The 17889-nt window shown below is 54.3% G+C and overlaps 1 protein-coding gene across 3 annotated transcripts in view, besides 1 other annotated feature; it reads left to right on the top strand.

Moving 5' to 3' along the window:
• NFAM1 (NFAT activating protein with ITAM motif 1) overlaps nucleotides 1-17023 on the top strand; it is a 57580-nt gene extending 40557 nt beyond the window's left edge. For all 3 annotated transcript variants that reach the window (NM_001371362.1, NM_001318323.3, NM_145912.8), the window contains 2 exons: nucleotides 10352-10441; nucleotides 12210-17023. In NM_001371362.1, the coding sequence (NP_001358291.1) occupies nucleotides 10352-10441; nucleotides 12210-12269 (150 nt within the window). In that variant the 3' untranslated portion in view covers nucleotides 12270-17023. The remainder of the gene's footprint in view (nucleotides 1-10351; nucleotides 10442-12209) is intronic.
• Nucleotides 313-607: a silencer, noted in NCBI's record as "tiled region #1538; K562 Repressive non-DNase unmatched - State 13:Ctcf". NCBI's record gives its function as "represses a minimal TATA promoter and a strong SV40 promoter by Sharpr-MPRA in K562 cells {active_cell/tissue: K562}" and the evidence as "EXISTENCE:reporter gene assay evidence [ECO:0000049][PMID:27701403]".
• Nucleotides 17024-17889: the final 866 nt, after the last annotated feature.

The following is a 17889-nucleotide window of genomic DNA, read 5'->3' as shown; positions in this document are numbered from 1 at the left end:
CAGTGATTTGTAATGATTTGCTCTCTCCCCTCCTGGCACATGCAGATATTATCTTACATGGTCACAATCACAGCGCAGACATGCGTTGGGACCCTGTTTGTTCCACTCTCTGCTGTGTTGTAGGCATTTTCTGAAACAATTTTCCTGGAGATGTGGGTGCATCTCCAGGAAGTGGAAGGTGGGTGCAGCGTAGGGGCCGAGGAGGCCAGGCTGCCCCAGCCTGGCCAGCCAGCCAGCATGCAGCCCTCTGCCCAGCGGCTGGGGCCGGGGAGGGCTGGGAACACTCTTTTTGCTACGTTCCTTTCGGCTCCACGAACAACATATGCTCCAAGTAGAGCAAGGGAAGAAGAAATGCCACCCAGTGCCAGCTGGGGTCCCCATCTCGTGAGATCTGGCACCGCCAGGTGGGCTCCCCACTCCACGCCTGGAAGGCACACAGCCCTTCTGGGGCCCTGCAGGTTCCCAGGTGCACGCTCCCCAGGTGCACGCCCCCCAGGTGCACGCCCCCTGGCTGCGATGGTGCTTGGGTTCTGCTCGTACGTGCTGTCGTTTCTGTTCCCACAACATTGACTCACCCTAATAACGCCACAGAACACCACACAGAGGACGCCCAGGATACAGCCTTGTCTGCTGAGGATGGGGCGGGTGGCAGCGAGGCCAAGGAAATGTCCCTGTGGGGCAGTGCCAACAGTTCCAAGTGGAATGTGATGGTTCTCAAAGGGCTTTCAGCTTCCCCATCCTGGGGAGTTTCTGTCAGCCACGGTTTTGCACGTGGCCGGAGACTTCCTCATACTCTCTCCTGTCTCCCAGCATCTCATAGTGGTATTTTCCCTACCAGGGATTCTGGTGTCAACTGTTAGATGAAAATATTTCTCTCTCTCCCTCTCACTCTCACTTTCCCTCTCCCCCAGCATACACATATGTGAGATATATATATATATATATAAAAGAAGAAAATAACCAGCATCCTAATCCCATCTTCTTCCAGGATAAATACTAAGAACATTGACTAATATATTTTCCAGTATTTTTTCTATAAATATATACAAAGAAACCCATACGCACTCACACATACTTCTTTTTTAATTGGAGCAATACAGCTATTTTTTTCATGAACATCTTTCCACGTGAATAAATATCTTTCTATGAGATTATGTTTAACGGAAGAGCTCTTTTGAGCAGAGCTTCTTTTTGCCTGGGTTTCACAGCCTCTAGGATGCAGGCCGACTTCTCTGGAGTGAGGTGAACAGACCTAACTGCCTGCAGAGTTGCAGGCCAGCTTGGAGAGTAGAGGTCATAGAACTTTGCCAAGCCCTTGACATAAGGGTCTACCAACTGGGATTGGGCCTGGGCGGAGAAGAGTGACAGTCACAACGATGATGGTATCAAGAGCCATTTGTTGTGTACCTACTATGTGCCAGGGATCATGGCAGGACTTTACACCTGTTATATTTTATCAATCCTCTTGATAAGGTTTTAGGGTAAAGGTTTTGTCCCCATTTTCACTTTCTTTACTTTTCTTCTTTTCTTTCTTTTTTTTTTTTTTTTGAGCAGAGTCTCGCTCTGTCGCCCAGGCTGGAGTGCAGTGGCACGATCTTGGCTCACTGCAAGCTCTGCCTCCCAGGTTCATGCCATTCTCTTGCCTCAGCCTCCCAAGTAGCTGGGACTACAGGTGCCCGCCACTGCGCCCGGCTAATTTTTTTGTATTTTTAGTAGAGACGGGGTTTCACCATGTTAGCCAGGATGGTCTCGATCTCCTGACCTCGTGGTCCGCCCACCTCAGCCTCCCAAAGTGCTGGGATTACAGGTGTGAGCCACCGCGCCTGGCCTTCCTTTGGATTTTCTACGAACCCAGTCATGTCATCTATGAATAATGCAAGTTTTACTTTTTCCTTTCCAATCCTCATTATTTTATTTTATTTTTATTATTTATATTTATTATTATTTTTTTTTGAGACAGAGTCTTGCTTTTGTCGCCCAGGCTGGAGTGCAACGGTGCAATCTCAGCTCACTTCAACCTCTGTCTCCCCTGTTCAAGCGATTCTCCTGTCTCAGCCTCCTGAGTAGCTGGGATTACAGGAGACCACCACCATACCTGGCTAATTTTTTTGTATTTTTAGTAGAAATGGGGTTTTGCCATGTTGGCCAGGCTGGTCTCGAACTCCTGACTTCAGGTGATCCACCCGCCTCGGCCTCCTAAAGTGCTGGGATTACAGGCGTGAGCCACCACGCTTGGCCTGTTTTATTTTTTTTTTTGAGACAGGGTCTTTCTCTGTCACTCAGGCTGGAGTGCAGTGGTGTGATCTTGGCTTACTTCAACCTCCACCTCCCGGTCTCCAGCTATCTTCCCACCTCAGCCTCCCGGGTGGCTGGGACTATGAGTGTGAGACACTGCACTTGGCTAATTTTTTAATTTTTTGTAGAGACAAGGTCTCACTATATTGCCCAGGCTGGTTTTGAGTTTTTTAATTTTTTGTAGAGACAAGGTCTCACTATATTGCCCAGGCTGGTTTTGAGTTCCTGGGCTCAAGTGATCCTCCCACCTTGGCCTCTCAAAGTGCTGGGATTACAGGCGTGAGCCACCGCACCCGGCCCAATCCTTATACCTTATTTTTTTTCCACTTTATTGCACTGCCTGAGGCCTCTGATACAATGATGGTGAATAGAGGTGGTGATAGCAGGTATCCTTGTCTTGTTTCCCAGTCTCCGGGGAAGGTTTTTTTTAAAATATAGTCTTCCTTCTTTGGGTGGATACTTAAGTAATTTCCTATCTTTCTTCTTTTCTAATTTGTGCACTTACAGTATGAACTTCCCTTTGATATGGCTTTAGCTGCATCCCACAAGTTTTGATATGTCATGTTTTCATTATCTTTCAGTTTAAAATTTCCATTGAGAATTCTTCCTTTCCTCACTGGTTACTTAAATGTGATTTGCTTAATGTAATGTGGTGGCGCACATCTATAATCCCAGCTACTCAGGAGGCTGAGGTAGGAGGATTGCTTGAGCCCAGGAGTCTGAGACAGTCTTGGCAACATAGCAAGACCCCATTAAAATTTTTTTTTAAATTAATAAGGATCAATAAGGACATGGAGGGCTGAGCGCAGTGGCTTACCCCTGTAATCCCAGCACTTTGGGAGGCAGAGGCTGGTGGATCACCTGAGGTGGGGAGTTTGAGACCAGCCTGACCAACATGGAGAAACCCCATCTCTACTAAAAATACAAAAAAATTAGCCGGGCATGGTGGCACATGCCTGTAATCCCAGCTACTCGGGAGGCTGAGGCAGGAGAATTGCTTGAACCCGGGAGGCGGAGGTTGCGGTGAACCAAGATTGCGCCATTGCACTCCAGCCTGGGCAGCAAGAGCGAAACTCCGTCTCAAAAATAAATAAATAAATAAAAATAAGGATATGGAATATTTTATCAACATGATCAACAAACTTGGCCTAATTGACATATATGGAATACTCATTCAACCAGGCATGGTACGTGTTATTTTCAAGTGCACACAGAATATAAACTGAGCCATAAAGCAAGTCTCAAAAAATTCAAAAGGATTAAAAACCATACAGAACATACTCTCTGATCACTGTGGAATTAGGTAAAAATAAAAACACCACATAGCCATCATATAATTAGACATTCAAAACTGTTGAATGAGTACTCTCATTAAGGATTAACAATTGATCCTTACTAATTAAACTTTTTTTTTTTTTTGGCTGGGTGCAGTGGCTCATGCCTGTAATCCCAGCACTTTGGGAAGCTGAGGTGGGCAGATCACGAGGTCAAGAGATCGAGACCATCCTGGCCAACATGCTGAAACCCCGTCTCTACTAAAAATACAAAAAAAAAAAAAATTAGTCAGGCGTGGTGGCGGGCGCCTGTAGTCCCAGATACTCAGGAGGCCGAGGCAGGAGAATCGCTTGAACCTGGGAGGCGGAGGTTGCTGTGAGCTGAGATCATGCCACTGCACTCCAGCCTGGGCCACAGAGCGAGACTCCGACTCAAAAAAATAAAAAATAAAATAAATAAATAAATAAATAATTTTTTTCATGAGTTCTCACTATGTGGCCCAGCTGGTCTTGAACTTCTGGGTTCAAGTGCTCTTTCTACCACAACCTCCCGATTAGCTGGAATTACAGGTGCATACCACCACATCTGGTTCTTACTGATTTTTTTGGCCTGTTTTCTCAATTTTTAACAGAAGTTAGTTAAAATCTGCCAGTATGATTGTGGATTTGTCTATTTCTTCTTTTAATTATTGTCAATTCTTGCTTTTTATTCATGTGGAAGAGTGCTCATGGCATATTATGACATGAAAAAAAAAGCTTTACTACTTCAATTTGTTTTAAAAAAAACTTGACCTATTCTTTGGGAGGCTGAGGTGGGTGAGTCACCTGAGGTCAGGAGTTCAAGACCAGCCTGGCCAACATGATGAAACCCCCTCTCTACTAAAAATACAAAAATTAGCCAGGCATGGTGGTGCACACCTGTTGCCTCAGCTGCTTGGGAGGCTGAGACAGGAGAATCACTTGAACCTGGGAGGCAGAAGTTGCAGTGAGCCGAGATTATGCCACTGCACTCCAGCCTGGGTGACAGAGCGAGACTCTGTCACAAAATAAATAAAAATAAATAAATTTAAAAATAGAAGAAAAAACTTGACATATTAAAAGCATGAATTCGGGGTGGGTCAGACAAACCCACCAAAACCCCCATCCGAGCCTTGTTCTTTTGCTTACTGGGTCTGCTACTTAAACTTTCTGAGTCTTAGTTCCATAATCTGCAAAACAGGGTTAACAGTACAATATTGGTTTACAGCTTGCAAACATGCTGTGATTTCTTCCATCTGAAATTCCTTGAGCCCGCATCCCCCTCCAGCTCCCTGCCGTTTCTCCACAGCACCTTAGAACAGAGTTCCTCCAGCGTTGACAGAGCCCTCTCACCTTCAGCCCCTCTCCCTCTCCTTTCTGTTTCTCTCTACAGGCTTGCAACCCTCCTCTTCGCCAGAACCTTCCTTCTCAGGGTCACCATTGACTCCACATTGTTAAACCAATGGGCAGTTCTCGGTCCTCACCTTCCTTGATGAATCAACGGCATCTGACACCCTTGAGCTCTCCCTCCTCCTCAAACACACTTTCTTCACTTGCTTCCAGAACATTCCACACTCTCCTGATCCTCCCCTGCCTCACCATCACACCTCCTCAGCCCCTTTCACTTGTTCCTCTTCCAGAACCAGTGGAACCCTGAACTGTAAAGATTGGAGTAAATGTTGGAGCCCATCCTGGGACCCTTTTTCTTCTTCATTCCCTTCACTGGGTGATGTCATTTAGCCACAAGGTTCTGAAGACCATCTATATCCTGACAACTCCCAAGTTTATATTTCCAGCCCAGACATCTCCTCTGAACACCAGAGTCAACCCCACTTGAATGTCTAAACAACATCTCTCTCAAACCAAACTCCGATTTTTTTTTTTTTTTTTTTTTTTTGAGACAGAGTCTCGCTCTTGTCACCCAGGCTGGAGTGCAGTGGCGTGATCTCGGCTCACTGCAACCTCCGCCTCCCAGGTTCAAGTGATTCTCTTGCCTCAGCCTCCTGAGTAGCTGGGATTACAGGTGCGCACTACCACACCCGGCTAGTTTTTGTATTTTTAGTAGAGATGGGGTTTCAACATGTTGGCCAGGCTGGTCTCGAACTCCTGACCTCAAATGATCCGCCTGCCTCAGCCTCCCAAAGTGCTAGGATTGCAGATGTGAGCCACTGCGCCCAGCCTCGAACTCCAACTTTTTACCCCTCTGAGTGCCTCTTACCCACGTCTCCTCATCGCTGCTCCATCCTTCCCGTTGCTCAGGCTGGAAATGTTGAAGTTGTTCTCTCCATCTGTGTTTCAATCACTGCCCATATCTGATCTATCAACAAATCTTGCTTCAAAACGTATCCAGAATCCAGCCCTTCTCACTGCCCCAGCGCTAACACTGGTGGGAGCCACTCCCGTTTCTTGCCTGGAGTCCTGCAGTTGGTCTCTAAGCAGCTGGTCTATTTTTATCCTTTCCCCTCCCCATGTCCCCCTACCCCCACCCCCAAGACCCCTGTTCATTTTTCACCTGGCAGTAGCCAATGATCCTGGTAAGCCATCGACAGATCATGGCCCTCTGCTCAGAGCCCTCTGAGACAGAGACACCAAGATGGGGTTAGGTGAGCAAGGGGTTTATTAGAGAAACCCTCTGGGAGAGAAGATGAGGAAGGGGCTGGGGAAGACTGGGAGAGCAGCCCCTCCGCGGAGCAGGTCTGATCCCAAGGGAAGGAAGCCCCTAAACCGTCACACTGCCTAGGGGTGTGAGGAGTGCCCAGGTCAGAGGCATGTGGCCTCCATGCAAATGTGGTAACAGGTTTCAAGGCCCAGCAGCTGGGCGGTTTTGAGCCCTTGGTCAGTTCCGATCCCTTGAAGTGGAGGTCTGTGAAGCAGTTCTTACGACCGCCACGGTCCTGCAGAGGTTCCCCTCTCACCAAGGGTCAAGGTCAGCGCCCTGGGCCTCTGTGCTGGCTATTCCCTCCGCCCCAGGGTGGCCTTCCTGACACTGGCCACGGCTGCTCCCTCTTTTTTTTTTTTTTTTTTTTGAGACGGAGTCTCACTCTGTTGCCCAGGCTTGAGTGCAGTGGCACAATCTTGGCTCACTGCAACCTCTACCTCCCGGGTTCAAGTGATTCTCCTGCCTCAGCCTCCTGAGTATCTGGGACTACAGGCACCCGTCACCACGCCCGGCTAATTTTTGTATTTTTAGTAAAGACGGGGTTTTGCCATGTTGGCTGGGCTGGTCTTGAACTCCTGACCTCAGGTGACCTGCCCTCCTCAGCCTCCCAAAGTGCTGGGATTACAGGGGTGAGCCACCACACCCAGCCCGCTCCCTCATTCTTTCAGCTCTCTACCCTCATGGGACCTTTCAGTGCAGCATTTTCCTGACTTCCCTTTCAAAATTGCCCCCTCTTCCCTTTCCTGTCCCATCCCAACCTCCCTATCTTCCTTCTTTGAGTCTCTCCAGTGCCTTCATGGCTACCTTTTACTGTGATTATTGTCAATCTAGAGCCTCCTGGCACCCAGCACACAGTAAGTGCTCAGGGGTCACCTACTATATGATGGGCAGAAGCCTGTTCTTACCTCCCAGGGTGTCCGGGTTTCCACGGGGCCCAGCACAGGGAAGTGGGGACACTCAGTAGCAAATGTGAGGCGTCAGGATGTGATCTGCGTCCTCATTCAGCAGCAGTACTCAGAACCCCCACCCACCCGGCGGCTCTGTCCCAGCCCAGCCTGGCCCAGCATCCTCGATCTTACTCTCAGCCTCCAGGCCCTCCTGCTCCCGTTCCTGCTCTGAGCTGCTGCCGGAGGGACCTTTCTAACACACGACTCTGATGCATGGTGAGGAAAGCCTTCAGGGGCTCCCCATTTCCACTGCCTGGTCTAGAGCTGAATTGCTTCTCCACGGAGTGTGTTCCTTCCCGAACAACACCCCCAGATCTCACCCATCACCCCCAATGCCCAGGACTCTCAGACTAGGTCCAGGCCCAGGGACACTAACTTCAGCTCTGGCCTCAGCCTGCCTGGAGAAGGCCTCAGCATTGACTTCACACCTCTGCCAGTTGGATGATCACTGGGGTCAGCACCATTGCCCACTGGGCAGCAGGAGGCAAAGGGCCTGGGGGGCCTGGATCCCAGACAAACAGCCGCAGCCCAGCCCAGCCCCCAGCCCAGCCCAGCCCAGCCCCCCAGCCCCCAACACCCAGCCCAGCCACAGCCCAGCACCCTCCCAGACCCCAGCCCCCAACCCCCAGCCCAGCCCAGCCCCAGCCCCACAAGTGGCCCATTCCAAGGCCTGTGCAATCTCCCAGCAGGCATACCTAAGGGAGGGCCAGGAGGGGATGGTTCAGGAGCTCAAAGGGTGTCCTGTTGCCAAGGCTGCACCCTGCATTTCACAGCCTGGTGATGCAGGTCATACCCTGCATATAAATGCACCCAGCGGGTCAGGACTTGTCAAGGCCTCACTCAGCAGCTGCTAATTGGTGGCCACCTCCGCAGCCTCCCCTGTTCTCAGCCCCGCAGCTGCTCCTGCCCTGCCCACTGCACCACCGCCCACTCGCCTATTCCCCGACTCCCCCACTGTATGGGTTGGGGGCCTGCAGCATCCCAGGGCAGGCTAGTCTTCTCTGGCCCTGCATCACCTGCCCTCTCTGGGCTCATGTGTTCTGGGCAGCCCGGCTGAGCTGGACAGGAGGGAGAGGGAACCCCAGATCTACTCCCCTGCCGAGACATGGGCAAGGAGACTGCTCCCCTCCCTTTTCTCTGTGACCAGAATCATCCAGCTCAGAGAGACTGTCAGATCTGTGAGACTTAGAAGGGGTCTGGGCCTGGGTGGGTGGAGGGTTGGGGGCACAGGACCACAGAGGAACATTCCCATCCTGGGTGCCAGACCAGCTGGGGTGGCTGGTGCTCCGGACAGGCACGAAGGCCGCACAAGGCAGGGCAGGACTTGGAAGTTTCCCTCCATTCCAAATGAGGCTTCTTCCTGGGGCAGCCCTGGTCCCTTTCCTACAAGGAAGCAGGTTGGAAGCCCCTCTCCCCAGACCCAGCCTGTTTCTGGCTCAGAGACCCCTTGAACTCGTCCTCAGGGCCGCCCCACCATCCCCATGTCTGATGCCCTTGAAGTGAGGGTCTCCCAAGTGCCAAATGGTTTATTACTTGGATTTTCATGCCCAGCTGCCTCTTGGCGCCTGCCTCCCTCCCTCCTTCCCTCCCGCCTCCCGCCCTCCTCCTGCCTCTGAGCACCACCTGTCTCTCCAGCCTGCCTCAGCAACCCCTGCTTGCCTGTTGCCAGGGAAACCGCCTCCTTGGCAACCAGCCGGCATCCATATGACACGTACACTCAGGAAGGAAAGGCTTCTGCTCTTGCTTAGGCTGTTGGTGGGCTCTGCTCCGGAGTCCAACAGGTTCTGAGGGAGGGTCTGGTCTGTGATCCCAGAGAGGGGAGGTGGGCAGGCCTCATGCTTCTCTTGACCATTCAACAGCAGTTTATTAAGCACCTACTACTTCCCTGACTGTGTGTGTGGCCCTTTGTGCACAGTATCTCATTTAATCATGCATTGAACCTGCAAAATAGATGTGATTATTCCCATTTTACAGACGTGGAAACTGAGGCATGGAGCGGTTAAGGGGTTGCCTTTGGCTGGCGCAGTCAGAGCCGAGATTCGAACCTACTCTTGTCTGACTTTAAAGCCCCGGTTCTTTCTACCATCCTGAGGTCTCTGGCTAGGCCTTTCTTAGCTGGGCCAAGAGTGAGTGGGCCTAGGACACACCCGAGTGACGGGGAAGCCCCCTTACCATAGCTCATTTGGTGCTGCTCCCTTTGTGCCAAGCACAGCTGTAGAATCAGAAACCCAGAGATAGACTAGGCATGGTCCCTGCCCTCAAGGGGTTCCCATCTGGTGAGATGCTGGTGGGAGCAGGACTCCGACATGACCCAGTGCAGGAGCCGTGAGGCCAGGGACAGGGCCTCCAAGCCCAGCTGAGCTCAATACTGACTCGGGCTTCCTGGGAGGAGGCTTGGGCTATGGGGGGACCGTGGTCAGAGAGTGGGTGGCAGGAGCTTGAGACCTCCAGGGAGGCGCATATGGGTGATGACAGCAGCCCAGGTGGCCCAGGAGGGGTGGCTGAGGGGAATGAAAGGAAAGTGACAGGCAAGGGGGATGAGGGGTGTGCTGAGAACCAGGATTGGACTCTGGAATCCCCCAGCAGGGCACAGGCTCGATGACCAGGGAGTGTGACCCCAGTGGGTGCCTGGGTTATCCTTGAATACAGGCTGGGGTGGGGGTTGGGGAGAGCTAGAGGGTATGGGTGGGTGGGAGGACCCTCACAGGGGCCGGGGCTTTGAACAGGGGGGTGAAGGCAGAGGTCATGGGGGCATCCTATTGGAGCAGTGGCCACAGGTATCATGCAGGGGGCTGCTGGCTGCCAAGCCCTTAAGAGCCTAGGGACAGGCAGGGACAGCAGGAGGAGGCCTGGCCCTTTCTCTTGCCAGCCAGGTGGAAGCCTGGATAGAACCCTCCAGGTGGAATACAAGGCTCTACTGGAGGTCCTTAAGGGAGGTTAGGGAGGTGGCCGAGAACAGAGAGGGGTCAGCCCTTTACAGGCAGGGAAGGGGAAAGGTGACTCTGGGAAAGGGGGTGGCAGGTGCAAAGGTGTGGCTGGGCTTCACCCTCCCCTGGGCTCCCACGGTGGGGTGTGTAACAGGCAGGGGGCTGGCTGCTGGGGCCAGGGACTGCCCCTCTACACACTTGCCCCTGATCCTGGCACCCCGTTTCCTGTAGGCTCTGCAGCGCCGCGAGACCGAGGTCTATGCCTGCATCGAGAATGAGGATGGCAGCTCACCCACCGCCAAGCAGAGCCCCCTCTCCCAGGTACACAGGCGCTGGGGCACCAAGCCTGGCTTCTTGCTCCATCTGACCCTCCCATCACTGGTGAAGTGGGGGGGCAAATGGGACATGGAAGTGAGCCACCTGCTGTGGAATCCCAGCCATCTCCTGGTGGCAGCTGGCCTGCTGGTTAAGAGGACTGGTGCGTTTGAGTTCCTGCTCTGTCCCTTAGCCACTGTGCAGCCCTGGCCGAGGTGTCTGACTTCTCTGTGTCTGAATCTCCTTGTGTGCAGATTGAGCAACCTAACAGTACCCACCTCATAGATGTTCAGTGAGGGTAGAATGTACTGAGAGAGCTGCCTGGGACCCAGCTGTGCCCATGCACTATGAGCCACTGTAACTATCACTGGGCACAGTGTCCACATGGTCAGTCAGACAGGGGTGTTAGGCTTCCAGCTGCCCCCAGGTTGGTGTTGGCTAAAGTCTGGAGCTAGAGTGTGAGCTGGTAGAAGCTGGGCTGGCCTGGTCAGGGTTCTGTGATTGTCATGATAGGGCCTCAGGCATATTACCCAATCATACTTTCTCTCTTTTTTTTTGTTTTTGTTTTGTGTGTGTGTGTGTGTGTGTGTGTGTGTGTTTGTTTGTTTTTGTTTTTGTTTTGAGACAGAGTCTTGCTCCATCACCCAGGCCAGAGTGCAGTGGCGCGATCTCAGCTCACTGCAACCTCCACTTCTCAGGTTCAAGCAATTCTCCTGCCTCAGCCTCCCGAGTAGCTGGGATTACAGGCGCCCGCCCCTGTGCCCAGCTAATTTTTTGTGTTTTTAGTACAGACAGGTTTTCACCATGTTGGCCAGGCTGGTCTCGAACTCCTGACCTCATGATTCACCCACCTCAGCCTCCCAAAGTGCTGGGATTAAAGGTGTGAGGCACCGCGCCCGGCCCATACTTTCTCTCTTAAACCTGTTTGCTCATCTGTAAAGTGGATGAGCAGTGTTTTCCTGCAATACCAACTGCCTCTGAATTCAAATGTGTTCCAAGCTGAATAACATCTGCACCAGAGCTTCCAGCACCGTCAAGCGTGAGGCGTTGTTCAGCCAGAACAGGAGCCCACAGGCCTCTTGGAACATCTGTCAGGGAGTGCGGGCGCCTGGCACTTGGCCTTCTCTGGCTCGGGCTGGCACTATTTGTTAAATCGCCTGTTCTCAAAGCCCTTTCTATACTCAGCCCTCAACTAGACCCTGAGTGAAAGCAGGGACATCTCCGGCAGTGCCCACCCTGTGCCAGGCCCTGGGGTGCTGGACAGGAGAACTAGGCATGTCCCTACCCTCTGGGAGCCATAGTCTGCAGGAATAGGTCGCTGACCCCATGGACACACAGAGGCATTTGTAGCCCTGTTGTGAGGGGTGTTCTTCTGGGAGGGACCAGCCAGGGTGGGGAGGGAGGGAGGGGGTCCCTGGGACCCTATGATGAGCCCGCAGGCAGAGTGAGTAGGGGGCAGTCATGGAACAGGTGTGTCTGTGGGAGGAGGCGCATCCCACACATAGGGCAGAAGGCAGAGGGCAGAGCTGTGGGGGAAGCTCTGAGGCTGGAAGGGCAGGCCCATGTGGCTGGAGGGCAATGGGCAGGGGTGGGGGCAGCATGGTGGGGGAAGAGGCTGGGGAGGTGGGCTTGGAGACAGAGGGCAGGCCCCCCATCAAAGCTACACAGGAAGTGATCTGTTGCCCTCTGGCTAAAACTAAATTAGTGCAAGTTCATTCTTAATGGTCATTCTCTCTCTTTCTCTCCTTCCCTCCCTTTCTTCTTTTCTATCCAGGAGAGACCGCATAGATTCGAAGATGATGGCGAACTTAACCTGGTCTATGAAAATCTCTAGGATGGGCTCCACCGCTCATAGAGCTTGCCCTGGGTCAGAGGACCGGGGCAGCCCCTGCCACCAAAGGACTTGATCTGAGTTGGGAGTAAGGCCCCCAGGGACACCCCATCATTTCACCCTCACATTCAAGGCCCTTCCTGTCTTGGCCGGCCCCACTGCCCCCCCATTCTATGCCCCAACCACCAAGGCTTTCCCATCTTGGGGCCTTTGCCCAGGCTGTTCCTTCTGCCAGGCAGGCCCTTCCTCCCTTGGCCCAACCAGCAAAGCGCCCCTCAGTCTTCAAGGGCTTTCCTGGATGCCACCCTTGCCCAGAGCCCTGCTCACTGCCTCATGCTGACAGAGCAGCATGCTCTCTTGGCACCAGCCTGCACCTCAGCCAGTAGGGCAGCCTCTGAGCTGAGGGAGGACCCTGCAGGGGCGCCTAGCAGTGCTGTGTGGGGAGCCGAGGTATGGAGGAGCTGGGGAGCAGCTATGCAAATCCCTACCTACCCAGCTGGGCCAGAGGCACGAGGCAGCCAGGCAGGGTGGGAGCAGGGGCTGGCGTGGGAGGTCTGGGGGACAGACAAGGATGATGGACCCCTCAGAGGCAAGACTAGGATCAGGGACAGATCTGGAGGCCCAGGACATGGCTGAGAGGTGGTCAGCAGGCTGGGGGCATGGAGCAGAGAGGGCTTGGGTACAAGCTGGAGAGGAAGGAGATTCTGGCATGTTGGGGTGAGGGCAGAGGGACAGATGAGGGGAGGAGGGTGCTGGCTAAACAGGAACTGAATGAATGGCCTGAAGCTCCCTCTCCCAAGGGTTCCCACTCCCATTGGCCTGGCCCTGTACGTGCACTCTGTCATCTCCTTGGTCACCCTCTGCTCCAGGCCTTCTCCACCACAGGACCTCAGCTGTCCCTCCTTCTACCCAAGGTGGAGTCCCCCAAAGTCCCTTCTGTCTGGCCTATCCTGTGCCCACCACCTGTGGCTTCATCCAGCCCTCCTCCTCTATCTTTATCTGCCATAGGCCGCAGCCCTGGCCCCCTGTGGATTGAGGTCCCAAGTGGTCCAGCTGTGGGGTTTGGTGCTGGGACCCTCAATGGCAGCCGGAAGGTCCCTCTGAGGCAGAAGCTCAAGCCCCATGGGGACAGTGGCTCCCCAGTGCCTGGCCCTGAGCCATTTCTGCTGTTTCAGGTGCCCACATCACCCTCATTTCCTCCTCGCAGTAGCCCTGCACCGTGGCCAGAAACCCATCCACAGGCAGGCAGTGGCTGGGGTCCGGGTGCCCCGGGCTGTTGGGCTCTGCTTCCTCCCTCTGCTCCCCCATGTCTCCCTGAGTTCTCCCACCTTTGCTCATTTGTAAAATGGGCAGGTCAATCTTCCCACCCCACCGTGTGGGCTGCCCCAACCCCAAATGTGCCCAGGGAGGGGGGGGAACCCAAGGCACAGGCCCCGCCCCTGCCCCCAAGCAGCACTGGGCTACTGGCTCACAGAAGCACCTTTGGTTCTGCAGGTCATGCCCCTCCCTGCAGGGAAGGGAAAGCTGGTGGTAGAGGCTGGGCACAGACTGACGTCCAGAAGAAGTCCCTTGGCCCTGCTAGGGTGGCACCAGACTTCTCTGGTCCCACAGGACAGCCAGTGGCCTCCCAACTTGGTTCTGGGCCCCCGCCTGCAAGCACACATGGCAAGGAGGGCTTTAGCAGGCTCACATAACCGAGTGGCAAGGCCCCTGCTCCCAGAGGCTGGATTTGAATGAACTCCGGGCCTGTTTGGGGAGGTGAAGCTGCCAGGTGTGCACAGGGGCCTCCCAGGCTCCTGGCTCCACCAGCCAAGGAGGTGGGGGCAAGGGTCAGGGCAATGGGGGACAATGCCGCTCAGGGTGCAGTGAGCTCCCCTGGGAAAACCGAAGCCAGCAAGACCAGGAGAGGGCCACCTCACTGGGCCTGCCTCCCCCACCTCCTGGGCCTCTCTGACCTCAGCTCCTAGACCCTGGACCCTTGGCTGGGACTCAGCATTTTCCAGTCTTTTTCAGGGGTAGACAGGGGAGCCTGGGTTAAACTTTACCACTGTGCCCTGGCCCAGGCATCACCAACACGGCCTCCCTGCAGCTGCCCTGCCACCGACAGACCCCGATTAAACCCACACCTGGCCTTGGCCTCCCCTGCTCTATACCTTGCATGGTTTTTGCCTCACTTGGAATAAAATTCCAACTCCTCCCTGTGGCGTAGGAGGTTCTTGGGGGCTGACCCATCACCCCTCTGGTGGACAGAGACATTGCCAGCGTGGTGGTCGTCTGTGCTTGGTTCAGGGCAAGGCTGGGAGGCAGTGGGTGCTGAGGTCTTCAGTGAGCAAGGAGAGAGGCAGGGAGGAGGAGGAGGAGGAGGAGAGCACAGCATGAAAGGACGGGACCCTAAAGGGCTTTGGCCCAAGGGAGGGTGGGGCAAGAATGTTCTGAGACTTCTGTGGGCAGCAAAGAGGACTGAGCACCTGTTCTCCAGCCCCCAGGACTGAGAGCCTGCAGAGACAAGCTGGCACAGGGCGAGGGGTGGCAGGGAACTTCAGGGTGGGAGGTGCATGGGGCAGGCGGGAGGAGGAAGAACAGAGAGGGGACAGAGAGGGTATGAATGGGAGCTCCTGGGGTGCAGGCTTGCTTTCCACTATGAATGGGTGGAGGAGGGAAGAGAAGAAAATTGCTTTTGAGACCCACCCAGGCTGGGTGGCCTCAGGGCCTCCCTTGAATCCCTGCTCCACCTCCCACAGCCTTGTGGACTTGGGCAAGTCACTGGCCACCTGAGCCTCAGTTTGCAGTGACAGTCAAGACAGCTCAGGCCAGGCGTAGTGGCTTATGCCTGTAATCCCAGCATGTTGGGAGGCCGAGGCGGGTGGATCACTTGAGGCCAGGAGTTTGAGACCAGCCTGGCCAACGTGGTGAAACCCCGTCTCTACTAAAAATACAAAAATTAGCCTGGTGTGGTGGCACGCACCTGTAGTCCCAGCTACTCGAGAGGCTAAGGCAGGAGAATCTCTTGAACCTGGGAGACAGAGGTTGCAGTGAGCCGAAGTGGCACCACTGCACACCAGCCTGGGCTACAGAGCACGCTCTGTCCAAATAAACAAACAAACAAACACTACTCAGTGTCTCAGAAAGGACAGAAGGGGACTCCCTGGCTCAGGCAGAAGCTCAGTGGGTGTGCATTTCCTTCAAGACTCGTCCTTCAGAAGGAATAGGCTTCTGGGGCAGTACAGAGGAGTCTAAGTGAGAGGCAGGCCTCCCTGGGAGCTGGGCCCAGGCTCTCTGCAGCCATGCCTTTAAGGAGTGCCTACGGGGTAGCACGATCAGATGGACAGGCCAGGGCTGCCCAGAGCTGGGGGTGGGAGCAAGGTAAGCAGAGAGGTGAGGGAAGGAGGGTGCTGGCTTAGCAGGAGCTGAATGAATGGGCCTGGAGGGGAAAAGCTAAGGGGGATGGGGTGGCTTGAGTGGAGTAGGTGAGGCCTAGGTGAAGGGGAGCTGTGGACCTTCCAGGACGGACGGATGTGAGCAGTCCTGAGTGGGGACTGGAGTTAGGGTGGGGAAGGGAAGCCCCAGGCAGCCCCTGCAGGCCCCTGCCCCTGGGCCCTACCGCAGCAGGGCAGCCCTGTCTCTGGGTCTCAGCTGATGCTTCCCTCTGCCCACTGGCCCCTGACCTGGTGGGATTTCCCACCATCTCTCCCGGCCCAGCCTGCCCTGCCCTCCTAGGTCTTCCCAACCTCCCCTCTGCAGAAACATCTCAGCCACGTCTGGCACCCCCAGGCATCCCTGCCTGCCTCTAGGAAGTTGACCCCTTCAATGGGTTTCAGCCTCCAACCCCACCCCCGCTTGACTCCTGCTCTGTCAGCACTTGCTTGAGAAAATCATCCTGGGAAACCAGCTTCTGGGAGCAGGGGCCTTGCCACTCGGTTCTGCGAGCCTGCTGAAGCCCTCCTTGCCACGTGTGCTTGCAGGCGGGGGCCCAGAACTAAGCTAGGAGGCCACTGGCTGTCCTGTGGGACCAGGGAAGTCTGGTGCCACCCTAGCAGAGGGCCCATGGACTTCTTCTGGAGGTCAGTCTGTGCCCAGCCTCTACCACCAGTCCAGAACTTGCAGTGGGTGCGGTAAACGGTGGCCCCTCCTCAGCAAACATTTCCAGGGGATTCTGGCAGCAGAGTTTCCATGGGAACATGTGCTGGTTCTGCGCTGAACCCGGTGTGGCTGGGGTTCCCTTCACAGCCAATATTGCAGGAACTGAGCCTGGTGGCCTCGGCCAGGGTAGGCAGTGCTCTTTGGCCACCCAGTGTCACAAACCTGAACTCAAGTTACAGGCAAAACCTGCTTTTCCTTTTTCTTTCTCTCTCTCTCTCTTTTTTTTTTTGTTAAAGCACATTCTAATGTAAAGTCCATGCTCCATTCTAAAGATGCCTCTGGGATTTCAGGGATGGATTTTTATGTAGTTCAATAGTTTTCTTGGCAGACAGCTTATGCAGGAGAGGTGGGCCGTTGGCTCAGTCCAGCCAGGCTGAGTGGCGTCACTCCATTCCTTGCAATGCCAGGGGATGTCATTTGTCCACCTGAGGGGGCTTCCCCAGTCTCCCTTCCCTGACCTGTGGTCAGAATGATGGCCTCAGCCTTGACTGAGCGCGGGTCAGGCCAGACTCTCTGAACTTGGTGTTGGCGTGTGTTTTGTGTGTGTCTGGAGGTGACATATGTGGGTGACAGAAGCATATGTTACAGTGAAACATTAAAACTACAGCAAAGTGAAACTCCTCTGATGCACCTGCCACCTCCCAGCCTCCATACCCGTCCCCTCCCCAGTAGTAACCAATCGGGTCATTTGGGAGTGTTTTCTTCGTCGCTGCTTTTATGGCATCTAGGTGTCTACCTGTGAACATGTAAAATGTGGAGCGCCGTGCGGGCTTCCGAACAGCCGCGATGCATTCATTTTGTAGGTGTTGTTTGCACTTGCTTTGTTGATGCAGCCCCACGTGGTGGGATCTGCCGGAGACAGCACACAGGAGCTGCCAGACTCCAATTACAGCAAAGGATCCTGCAGGACAGATGGATCCTAATTTAATCAGGCCCCCTATCGAAGGCCTTTTCAGTTGTTTATGATTTTTCAACCTCACATAAGGGGCTGCAGGGAACATCCTTGTACACACACACATCTGCAAAACTTTCCCTATGGGAAATGAGGAGGGATTCCTGGGACCCAGTGCATAGAAGTTCACTGTTCTAACAGTCACCACCAAATCGCCAGGCCCCGAGGTTGGACTGGTTTCTATTCCTCGGACTCTTTATCTAGAATATTTCATTTAATCCTGAAAATAGGTCTGTGATGGTGGGCAGGGGTGATCTCCCCATTTTATCGAAGCAGAAGCTACCACTCAGAACAGCTGACTGGCTCCAGGTCACACAGCCCAGGAGGAGCAACGCTGGGCTGCCTCGGCGTGTGTGCAGTCCTGCTGTCCCCAAGGGCATGTGTGCAGTCCTGCTGTCCCCAAGGCCAGGTAGGGGAGGTGATGGGGGAGGCAGAAAGAGCCATGGAGGGATGTGGTGTCCCCAGGAGTAGGGAAGCCCACAGAAGAACAGGTTTCCTTCAGAGATGGGCTGGCAGCCTCACATTCCTCTT

The sequence above is a fragment of the Homo sapiens genome, chromosome 22 (genome assembly GCF_000001405.40).
Source record: "Homo sapiens chromosome 22, GRCh38.p14 Primary Assembly".
NCBI classification, from domain to species: Eukaryota; Metazoa; Chordata; class Mammalia; order Primates; family Hominidae; genus Homo; species Homo sapiens.
Note: the sequence above shows the minus strand (reverse complement) of the source record. Positions and strands in the feature narration are given on the sequence as shown.